General features: G+C 42.0%; 1 long non-coding RNA gene across 2 annotated transcripts in view, besides 3 other annotated features; it reads right to left on the reverse strand.

The window, feature by feature from the left end:
- The window catches only part of LINC01622 (long intergenic non-protein coding RNA 1622), a 140,330-nt gene that overhangs the window by 26,036 nt on the left and 94,837 nt on the right, over positions 1 to 19,457 (reverse strand). The window contains exons 2-3 of one of the 2 annotated variants that reach the window (NR_027115.3): positions 18,360 to 18,490; positions 11,328 to 11,434 (exon numbers count right to left, since the gene is read on the reverse strand). This is a non-coding gene — a long non-coding RNA (long intergenic non-protein coding RNA 1622). The remainder of the gene's footprint in view (positions 1 to 11,327; positions 11,435 to 18,359; positions 18,491 to 19,457) is intronic. The other variant, NR_027116.2, reaches the window with a different exon arrangement.
- Positions 8,161 to 8,680: an enhancer, noted in NCBI's record as "H3K27ac-H3K4me1 hESC enhancer chr6:995434-995953 (GRCh37/hg19 assembly coordinates)". NCBI's record gives its function as "activates a minimal SCP1, AML or CMV promoter by ChIP-STARR-seq in primed H9 embryonic stem cells {active_cell/tissue: H9 hESC(primed)}" and the evidence as "EXISTENCE:reporter gene assay evidence [ECO:0000049][PMID:30033119]".
- Positions 14,946 to 15,105: an enhancer, noted in NCBI's record as "active region_23859". NCBI's record gives its function as "activates an Ori minimal core promoter by ATAC-STARR-seq in GM12878 lymphoblastoid cells {active_cell/tissue: GM12878}" and the evidence as "EXISTENCE:reporter gene assay evidence [ECO:0000049][PMID:35858748]".
- Positions 15,196 to 15,275: an enhancer, noted in NCBI's record as "active region_23860". NCBI's record gives its function as "activates an Ori minimal core promoter by ATAC-STARR-seq in GM12878 lymphoblastoid cells {active_cell/tissue: GM12878}" and the evidence as "EXISTENCE:reporter gene assay evidence [ECO:0000049][PMID:35858748]".

Genomic DNA, 19,457 nt, shown 5'->3' on the forward strand with positions numbered 1-19,457 from the left:
TTTCTCTTGCCTGATTGTCCTGGCCAGAACTTCAACTTCTATGTTAAATAGGAGTGGTAAGAGAGGGCATCCTTGTCTTGTGCCAGTTTTCAAAAGGAATGCTTCCAGCTTTTGCCCATTCAGTATGATAATGGCTGTGGGTTTGTCATAAATAGCTCTTATTATCTTGAGATATGTTCCATCAGTATCTAGTTTATAGCGAGTTTTTAGCACGAGGAGGTGTTGAATTTTATCGAAGGCCTTTTCTACATCTATTGAGATAATCATGTGCTTTTGGTCATTGGTTCTGTTTATGTGATAGATTACATTTAGTGATTTGTAAATGTTGAACCAGCCTTGCATCTCAGGGATGAAGCCAACTTGATCGTAGTGGATAAGCTTTTTGATGTGCTGCTGGATTCAGTTTGCCAGTATTTTATTGAGGATTTTCACACTGATGTTCATCAGGGATATTGGCCTGAAATTTTCTTTTTTTGCTGTGTTTCTGCCAGGTTTTGGTATCAGGTTGATGCTGGCCTCATAAAATGAGTTAGGGATGAGTCCCTCTTTTTCTATTGCTTGGAATAGTTTCAGAAGGAATGGTACCAGCTCTTCTTTGTACCTCTGGTAGAATTTGGTTGTGAATTTGTCTGGTCCTGGGCTTTTTTTTTGTTTAGTAGGCTATTAATTACTGCCTTAATTTCAGAACTTGTTATTGGTCTATTCACGGATTCGACTTCTTCCTGGCTTAGTCTTCGGAGGGTGTATGTGTCCAGGAATTTATCAATTTCTTGTAGATTTTCTAGTTTATTTGCACAGAGGTGTTTATAATCTTCTCTGATGGTAGTTTGTATTTCTGTGGGATCAGTGGTGATATCCCCTTTATCATTTTTTATTGTGTCTACTTACACACCTTACCACCTAGCATGAAGTAGAAGCTCAAAGTCTGAGCACTGAATGAATAGAATCAAAACCAGCTGTCAACGTCTCAATCCCCTGCTAATAATCTGTTACATTCCTTTTTCAAGGAATTTACTCATTTATGCAATTTTAATCAGTTCTTCCAAATTTTCCCTATTCCCATCTAAAATGACCTATGTGGATATTTGTGACAGGTTGGGTTCTCCAAAACCAGGCTGCCTCAGGATGGCGGGACACCCAGGGAGGCAGACCTTGAAGGAGTTGGCAGCTGGAGAGTGTGTGCCCTCATTCCCCACACTGGGAAGCAAATCCTTTCCTGAAGGGAGGCCTGGCAGAGCATCTCCACTCCTATTACAGCATTTTACCTACTTTACACCTTCATCCAAGGCAGAAGTGTAACTGTCTCCCAGGAGCTCATAACTTTCCATTTGTTTTTGGTGTCATATATAAGAATCCTTTGCAAAATCTAAGGTAATGAAGACTTATCCCTATGTTTTCTTTTAGTATTTCTATGGTTTTAGCTCTTAAATTTGGGTCGTTAATCCATTTTGAGTCAATTTTTGCACATGGTGTGAGGTACAGGTCCAATTCCATTCTTCTGTATTGGCTATCCAGTTGTTCTATATCATTTTTTGGAAAGACTCTTCTTGCCCTCATTGAATGGTCTTGTGACAGTTGTCAAAAATTTTTTGACTATAGATTTATCGGTTTATTTCTGAACTCTCAATTCTATTGCATTGATCTATATGTCTACCTATGAATTGAGGAACAAAAAAGATATAAGACATATAGAAAACAAAAATCAACGTGACAGAAGTAGCTTCTTTTCTTATCAGTAAATACTTTAAGTGTGAATATACTAAACTCTTCAGTTGATCCTCTTCTGTTTAGTATATTCACACTTAAAGTATTTACTGATAAGAAAAGAAGATACTTCTGTCCTTAGAATAGGCAGAGATTGGGAGAAAGAAAAAAATCCACAAAATCCAACTATATGTTGTCTATAAGTGACTCACTTAAAATTCAAAGACACATATAGGTTGAAAGTGAATGAGTGAAGAAAATAAATTGTATGCAAAAGTAACCAAAAAAGATAAGTCAAGCAAAGGTATACAGCAATTATATAATAAGAAAGCCCCCAAATATGTGAAACAAACATTGACAGAATTGTAGAAAGGAATAGTTAGAGCCTTCAATATCCCACCTTCAGTAATAGATAGAACAAATAGAGGATCAAAAAGAAAACAGATAACTTGAACGATACTATAAACTAACAAAAGTATCAGTAAATTCTACCCAATAATACACATGCTACCCCAAATACACATTCTTCTCAAATGCGCATGGGACCTTCTCTGGAATAGATCATATGTTAACCCACAAAACAAATCTCAATAAATTTTAAGACATTGAAATAATGCAAAGTATCTTCTCTGACCACAATGAAATAAGACCAGTGAACTAGTCTGTTCATGCATTGTTATAAAGAAATACCTCAGACTGCATAATTTGTAAAGAAAAGAGGTTTAATTGACTTATGGTTCTGCAGGCTGTACAAGAAGCACGATGCTGGCATCTGCTTGGCTTCTGGGGAGGCCTCAGGAAACTTAACAATCATGGCAGAAGGCAAGGAGGGAGCAAGGCATCTCACACAGTGGGAGCAGGAGCAAGAAAGAGTGAGAGACAAAGGTTCTGCACACTTTTAAACAGCCAGATCTCATAAGAATTTACTCGTTGTCATAAGAACAGCACTAAGAGAATGGTACTAAACCATTCATGAGAAATTCTCCCCCATGATCCAACCACCCCACACCAGGCCCCACCTCCAACACTGGGGACTAAAATTTGACATGAGATTTGGTGGGGGCACAGGTCCAAGCCATATCAACTAGAACTCAAAAGAAGAAAAAAAATTTTTAAATTTACAAATGTATAGAAATTAAACAACACACTGTTAAATAACTAAGGGGTCAAAGAAGAAATCCCAAAGGAAATTAAGAAAATACTTAAAGGCAAATTAAAACAAAAATATAACAAACCAGAAGTTATAGACTGCTGCAAAAGCAGTGCTTATGAATAAATTTGTAGTTGTGCATGCCTATATTAAAAAGAATAAAGATTTCAAAACAACTTAACACCATAGGAGACTAAATAAATAAGAGTAAACCAAACCAAAAGACAGCAGAAGGAAAAGATAATAGAGTGAAGTGAAATAAAATAGAGAATTGAAAAACAATAGGGAAAATTAATGAAACCAAAAGTTGTTTCTTTGAAAAGATCAACAAAATTGCGAAATCTTTAGCCAGGTTGACTAAGAAAACAGACAGAAGACTCAAATTTCTGAATCAAAAATAAAAGTGGGAACATTACTACTGACTTTACAGAAATTAAAATGATTATAGGAGAATATTATGAACAATTGCATGCTAAAAAAAATTAGATCAAGACGAAGAAATAGAAAACCTGAAATGACCTATGATATGTAAAGATTACATCAGTAAACTAAAGCCTCCCAACAAAAAAGTCCAGATTCACATGGCTTCACTGGTGAATTCTACTCATCACTTAAAGAAGAATTAACACAGCCAGGCATGGTGGTTCACGCCTGTAATCCCAGCATTTTGGGAGGCCAAGACGGGCGGATTATGAGGTCAGGAGATTGAGACCATCCTGGCTAACATGGTGAAACCCCGTCTCTACTAAAACTACAAAAAATTAGCCAGGTGTGGAATCCCCATGTATCAAAGGGGGGTCCTGGTCAGAGGGTAGGAGGTGATTGGTCATGGAGGTGGTTTCCCCCATGCTGTTCTCATGATAGGGAGCTCTTATAAGAGCTGATGGTTTTAAAAGTGTTTGACAGTTCCCCCTTTGCTCTCTCTCTCCTGCTGCCTTATGAAGAAGATGCCTGCTCCCCCTTCACCTTCTTCCATGATTGTAAGTTTCCTGAGCCCTCCTCAGCTACATGGAACTGTGAGTCAGTTATGCTTCTTTTGTTTATAAATTAGCCAGTCTCAAGTAGTATCTTTAGAGTAGTGTGAAAATAAAGTAATACAAAGTTCTAAGAGTAATTAGACAAGAAAAAGAGATTAGAGACATCCAAAATGGAGGAAAAAGTGAAATTACCCTATTAACAGATGACATAATCATATATATATGTATATCCTTTACAATTTACAAAAAACTATGAGAGATAATTAACAAATTTAGCAAAATTGCAGGATACCACATTAACATACAAAAATCAGTGCACTGGACATGAATTATATGTAAAGAAAATTCAGAAAACCATTCAATTTACAATGGCATCCTAAAGAATATAATATCTAGGAAGAAATTCAATCAAGAGAGTGAAAGACTTGTACACTGACATTGTTTGACTACAAAATATTGCTTAAAGAAATTAAAGAAGACATAAGTAAATGGAAAGATATCCCATGTTCATGGATTAGAAAACTTAACATTGTTAAGATGGCAATACTCTCAAAACAACTTACTGATTTGATGCAATCCTTATCAAAATTCTAATGGCCTTCTTTGGAGAAATGGAAATACTGATTCTCAAATTTATAGGGAATTGCAAAGTACCCAGAATAGCCACACACACAGAGACACACACACAAATTCTGAAAGAGAAGACATACACTTCCTAATTCTAAACTTACTACAAATCTACAGTGATTGAAATAGCATAGTATTGGTATGAGGATAAATATATAGACCCATGGAATAGAACTAAGAGCCCAAAAATAAACCCATACATCTAAGGCCAATTGATTTTCAACAAGGACACCAATAAAATTCAAATGGGAAACACAGTTTCTTCAACAAATGATGCTGGAACAGCTGGCTACCAATATGCAAAAGAATGAAGCTGGATGCTTACATCACATCATTTACAATAATTAACTCATAATGAACCAACAACCTAAATGTGAGAGCTAAAACTATAAAACTCTTAGAAGAAAACACAGAAGTAAATCTTCATGATCTTGGATTTTGCAAGGGGTTTTTACACAGGAAGCCAAAAGCACAAGTAGCAAAAGAAAAAAATAGAAAAATTGGGCTCCATCAAAACCAAAAGCTTTGTGCTTTAAAATACATTATAAATAAAGTGAAAAGACAACCTATAGAATGGGAGAACTATTTTGCAAATCATATATTTGATAAGGGTCTGCTAGCCAGGCCATACAAATAACTCTATGACTCAATAACAAAACACAAACACCCAATTAAAAATGGGCAAAAGGCTTGAAGAGACATATCTTCATTCATTCCACATTACTCCAGTGCAGATCACGACCAACTCAGAGACTCAAGGAGAATGCTCCACACATCTCTGGAGTTTGTTATCACTTCTGTCTCCACAGCTTCCTGCGTTCTAGAGTTTAGCTTCAGAAATTCCAATTGCTTAAGGTGGGGAGGGAGGCAGATCCAGTCTGTTACATCATGAGTGAAAAGAAAATCTCTAGATATGGCTTTACTGTACAATGGAATACTGTGCCATCCCTCAAAAAGAACAAGGAAGGTCTTGGTAGGGACTTTGAACAATTGCCAAGGTCTACTGCGAATTGTGAAAAAACAAGTTTCTTAGGAGTCTAGCAAAGAAGGAAAATGGAAATATAATTTCATGTTTTCTTGCACTTACACAGAGATGCCAAGGAAATTTATAAAATAATGACTAAAAGTCGTTGTCTGTAGGTGCACAGGTGGAGAACTGGGTTGTGAGGGAGGGGAAGTAAGACTTTTCACTGTAAGCCATTTGACATTGCTTTGATACTTTGCTGCGTGTGAATGTATTATCAATTCAAAAAACTTTAAAAAATTAATGTTGCTGCTTATCCAAATGGAAAAGAATGAACGTGAATTTCTATATTACACCAGTCTTAAAAATCAATTTCAGATAGAATAAATGACTATAAAAGACAAATTCATAAAATGTTTAGAAGTTTATGTAAGAAAATATCTTTACAAATTTAGAACACAGACATTCATTATACAAGACAAGGATGTACAAATATTAAAGAAAACACTTGATAAATTAGACCACATTAAAATTTAAGAGTTTAATTTTAACTTAAGTAATCAATTTAATTATGTATCTTGATCAAAAAACACAACAAAGGGTGGAAAAAAGACAAAAACTGAAAGAGATATGTTTGTATTACATAAAACTAATAAAGAATGTATGCAGAGAAGATATAAAGAACTACAAATTATAATAAAACGGCAAACAGCCCAATAGAAAAAAACAAGTGTGAGCCTTGAGCCGTCACTTAGCAGAGGAGGGAAGATGAATAGCCCATAATCATATGCTTCACCTCAGTGGCACTGGGGCAGGGCAGATGGAGACCATGGTGACATTGCACTTCACCTCCACCAAATTGGCCCATCTTAAATCCAAGCATTAGTGAGGGTATGCAGGAACACCAGCTCTCATCCGCTGTGTGGAAGGGCGTACATCAGTGGAATCCCTTGGAAAAGGTCTGGAATGACTTACCAAACTTGAACATGCCTATATTCTATGCGTAGTGACTCTACTCCTAGACACACACCCGGAGAAACTAGTGCTGTGTGCCAGACCTGAGCAGTAACCCACAGTCACACTGTAACAATTGGGAGTCCACGTGTGCACAGGAGCAGAGCTTGCAGGAAACCCAGTGGCCCCAAACTCTGACCACATCTCAGTGCATACCATGCCTAAATAAGCTACAGGGCAGTCACACAGGGAGTCCTACACAGCAGTGGAGGTGAAGGAAACATGAGGGCACACATCAACATAGGTGAATCGCAGCTGTCATTGAGTAAAACAGCAAGTCACAGAAAAAAATATGGTATAAAATTCCAGTTAAATACGAAAGAAAAAAACACTAAAACCTACACTACGTGTGTATGTGATTATGTATTGACATCTATATTATCTACTTATCATAGATCATTTATGCATCATCTACTTATCTATTTACCCATCACCTATCATCTATCTATCCACCTATCTCCCATCTATATATCTTCCATCATCTATCTATCTATCTATCTATCTATCATCTAATATATATCAACCATCTACCAATCCATCTTCTATGTATGTATGTATGTATGTATGTATGTATCTAACATGTATCAACCATCTGCCAATCCATCTATGTATGTATGTATGTATCTATCTACCTGTCAATCATCTATGTATCTATGTACCCAATTTGTCTATGTATGTATGTATGTATGTATGTATCCATATATCTATCTATCTATCTAACATGTATCAACCATCTACCAATCCATCATCTATATATGTATGTGTGTATGTATGTATGTATGTATATCTATCTATCTATCTGTCTGTCTGTCTGTCTGTCTGTCTGTCTGTCTATCTATCTATCTATCTGATCTATCCTCTAGCAAGCTGGCCATTCAGGATAGCAGTTAACTGGGCACAACACAGCTTCTATCTATAGTGGGGGATATTCTATTTCTTCAGCTGTTTGGAAGATAGATGGGCATTTGTTTCACTTTTATTTGAATGGAACATGGATATTCTATTTACCCTTCTGTGTGAAAAATATATTTCACAAATTTTCTCTGCAGGTAAGGGTTTTTTTCCATTTCCTTATACCACCATTTATTTTATACAAAGATGTTTTAATTAAATATTTACATATCCATAGACATAAAGAGACTGAACATTAAGAAAAAAAAAAAAGATTAGATTGATCTCCAAGCCAGGGGAGCCGTAAACATTTGTAAAGTAACTACGACTATTTTAGCTAAGTAATAATGAATAGTTTTATTTATAAGGCAAGCTTTCCTTTCTGAATTATAAATTGTTTTCACTCAATGTCTTTCAAATTCCTATTCTTAAATGGCTGTTGTAGGTGAGGTTGCCCAGGAAGCTGCTTTGCTATGGTGATGATGGTTCAGGAAATTTATTTGGGAATGCTCTCAGGACCAACACCTGTGGGGAGGGAAAGCGGCAGATGGGCAGAGGGACAGGCTGGGCTTCCACGTGGTCAAAAGAAAAGCCTCAGCCACCCCACAGGAAGATCTCTGGAGTGGGAGCAGCCCTTTAAGGTTGTGCGGAATCGGGGTGAGAGGGGCAGGGCCCTCTTATCACAAGTACATCACTCAACTGAGGCTGCTCCAGGGACCATGGTCAGGGTGGGTCCCTTCAGCAGAGGGCAATGTCTAGAGAGAGGGCAGGCAGGGGATGGTGCTGGCAGCACTCACAGCAGCGGGGCATGAAGCCCTCAGTCCTTCAGATCTCAGGGAGGCCGGGCTGCGTGTCCCAGGACCACACCCCCATGGTAAGAACACGTGTTAGGCACCATGGAGTGTCAAGATGCATAAGGTCTGGTCCTGCCCCCGAGAAGCTCATGCTCTAGTGCCGTGTGGCTGAGGGTGGGCAGAAACTATGAGAGGGGAGGGTCCAGATGGAAGCTCTGGAACTGCAGTGAAGGCTTGGGAGGAGCTGGGAGCCACCTCTCCCTGACCACAAGGAGAATGAAGGCAGGCTGCAGGGACACACCTCAGGGAGGGCATCTGCACGGTTACAGGATTTGCTCCCAAAACTCTGGCAGCCAGGGAGGAGGAGGAGGACGGGTGGTTTTCAGGTATAGGACTGGTGAGGGAAAAAGAGCTGAGGCCAGGAAGGAAGAGTCCCAGGACACACATGATCTCACTGCTGTGCTGTCTGCGACCCCCAGCCCCTGCCTCCTTCCCTCTCCATCCTCAACTGCTTCCTGCCAGCTTCTGGGTGTGGGAATCCAAGAACAGCGCAGAGGGCTGAGTGAGCAGCAGAGCTGGGCATACAGAGGCGTACAGGTGGGAAATTAAATGAGGCCGGCAATCCACCAGCTGACACTGGGTAGGCACATTGTGATAGATCACAGCTGACGGAATATGATTCAGGCATGAAGAATCACACATTATCAGGTAGCGTGACACATGCTATGATATGGTGGACCTGGAAGACATTACGGGAAAGAAACCAGCCACAAAAGACCACATGGTATGGCTGCATTGATATGAAATGTGCAGAAAAGGCAAATCCTTACAGACAGAAAGTAGGTTAGTGGTTGCCAGGCGCTGGGGCCTGGGGAAAGTGGGGAGGTACTGCTTATAGGGACGGGGTTTCTTTTAGGGGTGGTTTAAATGTTCTCAAATTGATTGTGGGGAAGGTTGCACAACTCTGGGAATGTACTAAAAACCACTGAAGTCTACACTTTAAATGGGTGAAGAGTGTGGTATGTGAATTATCTCTCAGTAGAGTTGTTACTAAAAAGAAAGTGAAGCCATGGGCATGAGGACAAGGCCCATAGTGGAGATGCAGACAGGTGGCTGAATAAACTTTTCCCATTTTTCTTTTTCTTTGATCTGGTTCTCCTGGCCTATTGATCTCTCCTTTACACAGGCAGTGCTGGGAGTCTGGTGGTGGGTGCGCATTCCTTTCTGTGCCTATTCATCATATATTCTCCATCAGACACCCCTCAATTACCTCAAAGAAACGTAGGCTCAAAACAAATCTAGGTACAGTAACAGAGGTATCAGAACATTCTTGAAAATGAAACTATAACTTTGAGACACTCCCTAGTCCCCCATTGTGAGCAGGTGCACCCAATCCATTTCATCTTGTGTGCTGTGCTTTGTCATACCGCCTGCTGGAATCTTGCACTCCCTCCCGACGCCGCTCACTCCTGGTCTGCGGCACTAACCCCCTCTGACACTCTGGGCCATTGCTGTCTGCCTCCCTCTGTCAGAATGCCAGGTGTGAGCTGAGAGCAGGTGGCACTGCCTGGCACAGGGCAGCGGCTCAGCAAATTCTTGCTGAGGGGATGAATAAATTCCACATTTCAGTGTCCCTGAAAACAACATTTCCCACGTGCCTGGATGGATGCTGCAGACAAACCAAGGTCACACTGCTATGGCCTGGAGGCCACTCACGTCTGCACAGAAGAAAGAGGAACAGTATCATAAACTCATGCCGGCACTGCCTGTTGGGTGTTTTCTGTGCACAGTAACTTATTATCTGTACCATTAATTTAAAAAAAGCTACTCTACCTACTGGAATATACAATAGGAATCTTGGAAGTTGTATAATGCTGGTCTGGGGATCTCTTTTTTATTCAGCCTACATTTATTGAGCATTTACTATGCTCCAGATGTTCATTATTTCATTTAATCTTCACAACATAATGTGATACATACACTAATATTAACCCCATTTTTGAGATGAGAAAACTGAGACTGCAGGTTAGGAGAATTTTTCTGGATTCCACAGCCAGTAAGGATCAGGGACAGGGTAATCCAGGTCTCTCTGCAGTTTGGAAGGAGGAGATCACACTTCTCATCGTGCAGCTCGCCATCTCCACGTGCCTTTGACTTCCAGGCATCTCAGCACTAAGTCAGGAGCCCCCCATGTTCCCGGGCATCCCACTGCACTGCAGCTCCAGCACATCTGCACAGGGGTCTGTGCCCTCACCTGCAACCTGTCTAGGGCATTGGGAAGCTTCCTCCTATCTTCTCACCTTCTCTTTCTTTCCTACCTGCAGCAGGAGCTTCATAGTTCCTCAGAGTTCAATGGCTCTGGATCCTGCTCCAAGCCAGACCACACCCGTGGCCTTGCCAGAGGAGAGAACCCACCTGCCCCTCCTCTCCCAACAACAACCAGCAGCCACCCCATCAAACCCTCCCACACAACCACTTTCGGTCGGTCCCGTCCTGTGCCAAACACTCATCTTTCCCTTCCAGGTCATCACCAGCACCTCTCCCAGAGTTTAGTTCATGAGTTTGCATGGCCTGGAGTTTCTCTCTGAAGCTTTTGCTGTACATACATACTGAGGAAGAGAGCAGAAAAATTCTGAAACACGTATCAATACATGAGTATTACAATAGTGGTTAAACTGCCAAGATGTTTTCCGTACTGATGAATTAAGTTTCACGCTCACTTTCTTAGGATGCCATGGCAAAGCCCCGCAGACTGGTGAGCCTTAAATAACAGGAATTTATTGTCTCACAGTTCTGGAGTCTGGAAGCCCAAAACCAAGGTATCAGAGTTGGTTCCTTCTGAGGTCTATAAGGGAAGCTCTGTTCCAAATAGATGGCCGTCTCCTTCCTGTGTCTCTTCACACAACCTTCTCTCTATGCACATCTGTCTCTGTTCAAATTTAACCTTCTAATAAAGACATCAGTTATATTGGATTAGAGCCCACTTGAATGACGTGATTTTAACTTGATTACTTCTTTAAGATCCTATTCCTCCAAATAAGGTCACATATTAAGGGACTTCAACTACCTTTTCCAGAGAACACAATTCGGTCCATAAAATGTATCAATAATGAGCTCCTTTCATATTTGGCTGCATCATGCTTCATTTAGAATTGGCTTGGAGTACATTAAATAGATGCATTTCATAAAGCCCATCACATACAGACCTACACAGAATCTCCAGTCCTGCCACACCTCTCGCTGGCTTGTCCTTGTGTCTGCCGGCTCAGAATCTGACCACATAAATCCGAGCCACTGGCTCACTAAAGGCCACCTACAAAGGAGACAGATGTCAAGTTAGAATTACCAGATCTATAAATTGGAAATGAGAGTTTTATTTCTTATAGGGGTTTACGACCTGCAGACTGGCCATCCTGCGAGCTGGGAAGTGTAGCCTCCAGCAGAGACTGAAGGCACACACTTCAAGTGGGGAAAGGTGAGGCAGAAATGGATGCTGAACAGGTTGGCTAAGTAAACATATTCAGCAGGTTATAGGAGGAGGTACGGACGGTCATGAAGGTGGGCGTGCACATGCATAGTAAGCTAACGTGCGTGTCACATGGGCATCCTCGCTTTGGGGTGGAGATCAAACATTTAAATGCATTGCAATTAGGACCTACACATCAAAAGGTGAAGCAAACACATGAAGGCACATGAAGGAGAAAGTGACTGAAATCAGCCTCTTGTCCAGTCAAAGCTTTAGTTCTGGCTGGTGGAACAGGGAGTCAACTAGTCAGCGTCCGGCAGCAGATGAGCTGCAATTGTTTCGATATTGCTTATCTCGTGGCCAGTGCTGTTTAGCTGCTAGAGAAGAAGAAGAACCTTGTGGCAGTCAGAACAGAGCTTACTGTTTAAGTGTAGAGGCGTGTGCATGGCCTTGGATCTTATTTATAATTTGGTATCTTATTGCCACAGAGTCCACTCCATCAGTCTTAGGATACTCTATTTTCACATAGGTTACATATGGATGAGTAAAACATCGTAACTTTGGCTCTTTCTGGAACAAAAATGGGCTATGCCATGTAGATGTCAATGATTGTCTCTATGTCCAGGCAGCAAATGCTTGTAAAAACGATGTCAGCATCCACGAACGTCAGGGCTGAGTGGAAGTCATGCAGTTCAACAGATCTGAAAAATTCGTGATGGAAGAGTCACAATTTTCCCATTGTGAGGCTTTCTCAGTTTCTTAATTTATATATTTCTTCAAGGGGAAACCTGAGAGGAGCTTTTGGTGTACCCTTTCATGAAGCCCTAACCCTAAGCTGGCCACAGAGAAACATGAACTCTTAGGATCCAGGCATGGCCTGTGCCTGTGCTTCCCATTCCTGGTACCCAGCCGAGTTGGAAATATTTCTTAGCAAGGCTTTTTGAAGTCTGTTCATAGTAAAGCCGAAATGAATGTCTTTTGTGCTGTGCTTTCACACTGTCTTCTGGGAAGCTGTCCACTGACAACGAGATTGCTTTGGAGAAATGATCAAAGGAACCATCTCTAACGGTATGGTCTTCATTTCTGAGCAGCGATAATAGGCGTGCCAGCCCGCACGACTGTAGGAAGCTACAAATAATGCTGTGTTCCTTTGATCACCGGCTCTTCATTCTGATCTTATTTACTTTTCAGAAACAAACACTTGACAATGATGGTAGGGATTCTAAACCGCTTATGTGGGTAGAAAATCTGTATTTTAAAGTGGTAGTTAAGACTGAATGTGTCTATATATTTGCCCCTGAGCTGAACTGTTCCATTTTTTAAAACCATGTAAATGTCTGCAGAGCTGCACCCACAAAAACATTGAAGTCTAGAGGGAAGACACTGAAAGCCAACTTCCCCTGGCAGGGTTTGTGACAGCCCAGTGACTCCCAGGGGCCATCATCATTGCTTTACCTGTTAGTTCCATGCTTGAGATAGAAATTGCCCTCCGAACTCTGACCTTTTGTTGCTTTTACAAATTCTGATTGTGAAGTTGGGACAAAGGACGTTCAAAAGCCCATGGTGAATTTATATGCCTTCAGAACAGGGAACAGGGGGCCCGTTCTAATATGGTAAGCTTGTAAAACACAAAGTTTCATACATAAGATATATGAGGATATATAATTATATGGTCTCATGATTGGTCCTATAATCTTCTGTGATACTGTATTTCTACTTTACAATAATTTTTCATCAATCACTACTCCAAATAAGTCATTATAAAACTTGACAAACTTTGTCTCTATCTTACGTTAGAGATGGGGCATATATTAAATTCGTCATTCACCTGCCCTCTGAGTACCCTGGGAATCTTGTTCACATCCATCTAGAAAACAAACAAACAAACAAACAAACAAACAAAAAAACACAAAAAACCTGCTAAAACAGCTGTATGGTGTTTTAACTTACCTTACATCATCCCCACCTTCCATTTAGGAAATGTTTTATTTTATTGCAAGTCTTTTTCTGTTGCATTGTATCCGTGCTATTGTGAGGTAAAAAATGACTACATCACTGCTCTGTGAGTTTGACGTGGCTAGGTGATTTGTGGGACCACCCTAGACAAACAGCTGACCCCCTACAGGTGAGGTGCCTTCTCTGAACCACAGAGGTTCTCTCTTGGGTCTCACTTCTGTCTCCCAAGAGCTGTGTGAACAGACAAAGCCCCAAACTGGTATTCCCACAGCCTCCTGTCGACCTCAGGCCATTTGCTCTCTGCACTGCAGCCACCTCTGTGTCTTGGACCTTCTATCTTGACAAAACAATCGACAGGTGTCCTCAACACCAAATCTTATCCGATCTGGTCCCAGTCTATCAGCAGTTTTATCAGGGAAGGAATTCCAGAATAATTCTTATAAACAAAAAAACACCAACTGCCTTCTCACACAATAGACAAACATAAACCATCATGTTAGGGTTGGAAACAGGGAAGGTCAAATATGGGAAAGGGGATACTCTCTGTAGGTATCTGCAGAGCTGAGGACTGTGTCTCACCTGGAAGGCAGGGACTGCATTGAATGGGATCTACATCAGGCTAGTGTCACTTAGGATTACTTCATGTGGCCATTCTGATTCTTTGTTGCACTGAAATTTGTTCATGCAAAAAAGAAAAAAAAAACTGTTCAAAATAACCAGGCTACTGGAGGTTTGAGATGCCTTTTGTCCAATGCAGACACTGTTTCATTTACTGTGCTGGGAACTATCTGTAGGGCCTATGCTCATGGCAGGGAGAAAGCTTTGGTAAGGACCACCATGCTTTTCCCAAGATTCTGGTGTTCAGGGATCACTTGAAATTTTGAAAACACACATTATTTTTTCTGAGGTCAAAATTAGTGATGTCAAAACCCTCTGAGGTGGGCTCTACTGCTGTTTTCAAAAGATGAGAAAGGAGAAATCTTGTCTTCAAAAAGGTTCCCAGTCTAATCCCGTAGACCAATGATGCTGGCAGATGCTTCTGAGAGTCAGAATGGTTGGTTGGAGCAGCTCCCCCCTCACACGGAACCTTTTGATGTTCACCCAACCCCACTAACCCTGCCATGGAATGCACCAAAATAAACTCCACCACGAAACCCTAACAAGGCGTGATTGGGCTTGGAGACCAGAACACTGGGCCAAGAATCTACAGAGCCAGCTGTGGGACTCATCATGCGTGAGTTACCGAATACGCCGTGTCTTAGCTCAGCCATCTGTGGAAGAGACTCATGCTTTCACTCTGGCCGCTAACCTCAAATCACTTTCAGAACAGTACGGTTCTGCCCCATGTTGATGTTAACTTAAGTTCAACTCCTGAGAATTACATGAAACAATGGCTCTGTGGGCTGCAAATCATCATTATTTCCAAGTTTACAACAAACTTTGCCTCACAGAATCCACATTAGTGACATCTCTCTAAAATATAAGAAAATGTGGTGAACATCTCCCCTCTGCCCCAGGCATGGTTTCCACCGTGGAAGTAAATACATGCTCTGAGTCAAAATAAAATAAGGCACAAGATACAAAACAAATTGGCAGTCTCACTTCTTTTTTCAATGCGCCTTAGTTTTATGAAAAATTAGGCTGCTACATTTATGCGATTGTGTGTTGACTTGCACATTCTTTTGGGTAAGGTTGTGAGAAGTAGATGAAAGACCAGGAAGAGCAAGCTTTTGAGCAAAACTGAGCTGAGACATTCTAGGACCACACACTACACCCAGCACAAGATGCTCCGTGATGCCAAGCGGCATTATGAAGAAAAGAAAGGCTTTATTTAACTTCGGCACCTTGTATATTGAGCGAAGAACATGAAGAAGGGGAGACCCAAAGATGGGGAAGGATACATTCAGGGGGAAAAATCGGGTAACTAGAAGAGCAGCCAACTCTCTAGGCTGGGAAATTCCTGCCCCAGCTTTAAAGCCTGTTTCCCCCTTCCCCAGAGCCAGAGGGGGCCCCCAAACTCACCCCTTACTCCTCACCTGGAGCTTTTGCTTAAAGAATAGATTTTCTTTAAAACAATGCCTCCATGCCAAAAGGGGCAACTAGGAAATTAGAAGCCCCATATGCTATGTATTTACTTTTTTAGAGCATACTCTATCTTGCATACTTTTCTCTTTTACCAGCCAAGACTAACCTACAAAGCACCTTATATTTTTCAAGAGAAAAATAATGTTTTTTAGGAAATTGACTAGGCACAAATTATATCAAAAGCAGTATTTGAGGTGCTATAATTTTTGCCTAGATTTTTTCTTTTTAAAAAACTTTTTAATGTTTTATATTTCAGACTTATGGCTTTTCACTTAGGGTGAAAAATCTCTGTTCATCCTTCATTCAGCTTTCTCAAATATTAACACCCATAACCACAGCCATGATCAAAGTCAGCAAGTTAACAATGATCACACTATTAACTAATCTGTAGACTTCGTTCAAACGTCTCTCTCCCCCACCTCCCTCTCTCTCCCTTTCTCTCTCTGCCTCTTCCTCTCCCTCCCTGTCTTTCTCCCTATCTCTTCCTCTCTCCCTCCCCGCCATCCTTCCCTGTCTTCTCTCCCCCTCTCCCTCCCTCTCTCTCGTTCTGTCTCCCTTCTCGCTCCGTCTCTCCCTGTCTCCCCTCCGTCTCTCTCTCTCTCTCCTCCTCCGCGTTGGTTTTACATGGTCCTGTTGCAGACCTTCTTCCTCAAGAAAGTGAAGGGAACGTGGAGGGGCTGGACTGACTCTCTTCGCTAGTTCTGGCTTCGAAGACTCATAGAAGGACCCTGATGCGTAGATGAACAATGACCTCAGACAAGGTCAACCAGCTCCCGCCAAAGAACAGAGTACCGGGCCCTGGGACCCCTGCACAGGTACGGGCCAGAAAACCAGCGAACCTTCTTCACCTCACAGCAGCTTCCCTGTCAGCGTGGCCTCCCTTCCGGCTCCACAATGGCGGGCCCGGAACAGACCTCCTGACTCCTCCCACTCCGTATCTACTTATCAGGAAGTCGGACCAGCTCTACCCCTAAAACCCACCTCTCTCCACATCCACACGAGCCCGCCACCTCGTCTAGGCCACAGCCTTGCCTGGACTGAGGCAGGGACCTCCTTAGGAGCCTTTCCGGGTTCACTCTTGAGCCGCTACATCCGTTCCCTGACGCAGCTGCCAAGGTGACTTCTGAAGCAAAGCATCTCATCAAAGGGCTTTGCTTTGTGCTGGCCGGAAAGTCCAGCTCCTCCCTGAGGACGACAGACCCCCCGGCGATCAGGACCCTGGCCACTTCTCAGACTTTAGCGCATCCACTCCCAGCACCCCGCAAGACCCTCGCTCGCCCGCCTGCTCACCCACTAAGTCCTGCGGGCTCCCAGCACCCCGCAAGACCCTCGCTCGCCCGCCTGCTCCCGGCACCCCGCAAGACCCTCACTCGCCCGCCTGCTCACCCACTAAGTCCTGCGGAGCTCCTGCTGCTCTTTGCCCTTCTGGCTCCCCTGCCAGGCCCCTCCTGGGTCTTCCTCACTCCCACCCCCACCCCATGTGCAGCCTGTCACTGTTTCCACAGCCCCCTCTGCAGGTATTCACAGCACTATCTCTAATGGGGGTTACCTTGTGCAGTTAATTGTTTGCTTGTTTTCGGTCTTACCACGACTTTAAGATTTGCAATGAAAAAATACAGGAAGAAAGAAAAAGAGAATAGCTAAGGAAGAGAAAGTGAGCCAGGGAGGCTCCAGGTAGGGACTTTATTTCAGAGTTGATTTTAGACATTTAGAATATCTGTGTAACAGTATTTGAAATTCTTTCACACGTTTAAAATAAATTTGAATTAATCAGAAGAAAAATTGGTTCCGTAAGAAAGTACTTCTGCTAGAAATAGCTCTACAGTTTGTAATTCTTATTTGTATTGAAAAACAGAACGAGTTAACTCTTTATATTAAATAGTCATTGTTCAGAAAGGAAAAATGAATTGAAAAGAGCTTTAATAACTTGATTTGCAAATTTGGGAAGAGGGGTGAGTTAGTGGTATCATGTCTCGTAGGGAGGAATTTTATTTATTTTATTTTATTTTTTCAAAACGGAGTCTTGCTCTGTCGCCCAGGCTGGGGTGCAGTGGCATGATCTTGGCTCACTGTAACCTCTGCCTCCTAGGTTCAAGCGATTCTCCTCCCTCAGCCTCCCAAGTAGCTGGGATTACAGGCGTTCGCCACCACGCCCCACTAATTTTAGTATTTTCAGTAGAGATGAGGTTTCGCCATGTTGGCCAGGCTGGAGGAATTTTATTTTAAAAGGTCATTTTAGAAAATAAAAAGCAAAACAAAATTAAAAACTCTGCGTTAGGAACTTCTGTCCTATAAGATACTCATTTTAAATGCAAAAATGTTCATGATGACTAATATCTAACCTATGAAATACTTTCTCACCTCCACAACTTTCATTTCTCTCTCTGTTTTTTCACACACACAGACACATACACACACAGAGACACACACACACACACACACACCCCAGGCACCCCTTGATAAAGATATAAGTGGCCCCTGTTGAGAGATGTGTGCTTCGGCCAAACGCCCAGGTCTCAGTCAGTAAGGAGGTAGCAGGCCCTGGGAACCACACTGAACTCAGGTTTCCTTGCTTGCAGAAGTTATTCAGTGCTTTTCTCCTTCCAGGAAACTGAAGTAACAAATGATTTTTCTGATTTGGGGATGCATGAACATATTTTGTCAAAAAGTGGCCGTATAAGATGGGGATTTTCTTTCCTACGAGATAAAAGCAATTCACATACACACAGACCTGATTCTGAGATGCGTCATCCTTTGAACGTGAATTCCTGTGGTTTTCGGAGTTCGTCCTGGAGAAGGGCTAGGTTGATCTGTCTCCTCAGAGCAGACTGCACAGCCTTCCCGAAGAAAAACATGCAGGGCCTAAAATATGAAAATATGGAAAAATTAAGGTTAAAGTCCACTGGACAGCAAGAGTTCCCCTGTTCCCGGGTATTTTCAAGACTCTCTTAAATGAAGGATTTGGATGTTGGAGTTCCTTCTCTTGCATCTTCCTTCCTTTGTTAAACATGTGCCAGACCCACTCCAGGGAACCAGCTCCCTAGAGAATGGCTGACTCCAGGGCTGAGGCAGGAAAAGTACAGGATCAGCCCCAAAGTAAGGAACTGCTCAAAACATGATGGGGACAAAAGGAAACAAGGACTAGTTTGAAGGAGCTGCCACTGGGCACACATGAGACAAATTGAGCTTGAAAATGGCTCATGAAGGTAGTGGGTGACAACTCACTGGACAAAGAAACCAACCTGTGAGTACAGAATGCTGGCAGAAAACAAGCAAGTGAAGGGGTGGGATCCATGAGAAAGCCTCTCCTTATAGAAGGCCAACTGATAAAGGAGTCAGAAAATGACTGCTTTGAAACCACCATAATAATTGTTGGCCCGGGCAAAGATCGTCGCTGAATATTAATATCATTCAGTGGAATTGTGGGGTGATATTTACAGTTGCCTAGTGCCTGCTCTTAAATTCCTTCCTATCCAAGATAGAAGGTGCCTTTCCAGAAGATAACTCTGGATGACACCACCTTAACCAAGTGATACCCAAACTGAGACGTCAGCAAAACAAAAAGACCCTGAGCACTTCAGAAACGAACTTTCAGCCTCATGGAACAAAGAAAGGCTAAGGACTGCTCCTGATTAAGGAAGTCTAAGGGGACATGACACCTAAATGCGACGCATCACCCTAGATTGGATTTTGTGTTGAGGGGAAAAAGTTGCTTTTAAGGCAATTTTGTAACCATCAACAAAATTTGAATATTCACCACATATTAGATAATAGCATTGTGTCAATGTTAAGTTTTCTAAATTTGATAATTGCACTGTAAATGTGTAGA

This window comes from Homo sapiens, chromosome 6 (genome assembly GCF_000001405.40).
Source record: "Homo sapiens chromosome 6, GRCh38.p14 Primary Assembly".
In the NCBI taxonomy this organism is placed as follows: Eukaryota; Metazoa; Chordata; class Mammalia; order Primates; family Hominidae; genus Homo; species Homo sapiens.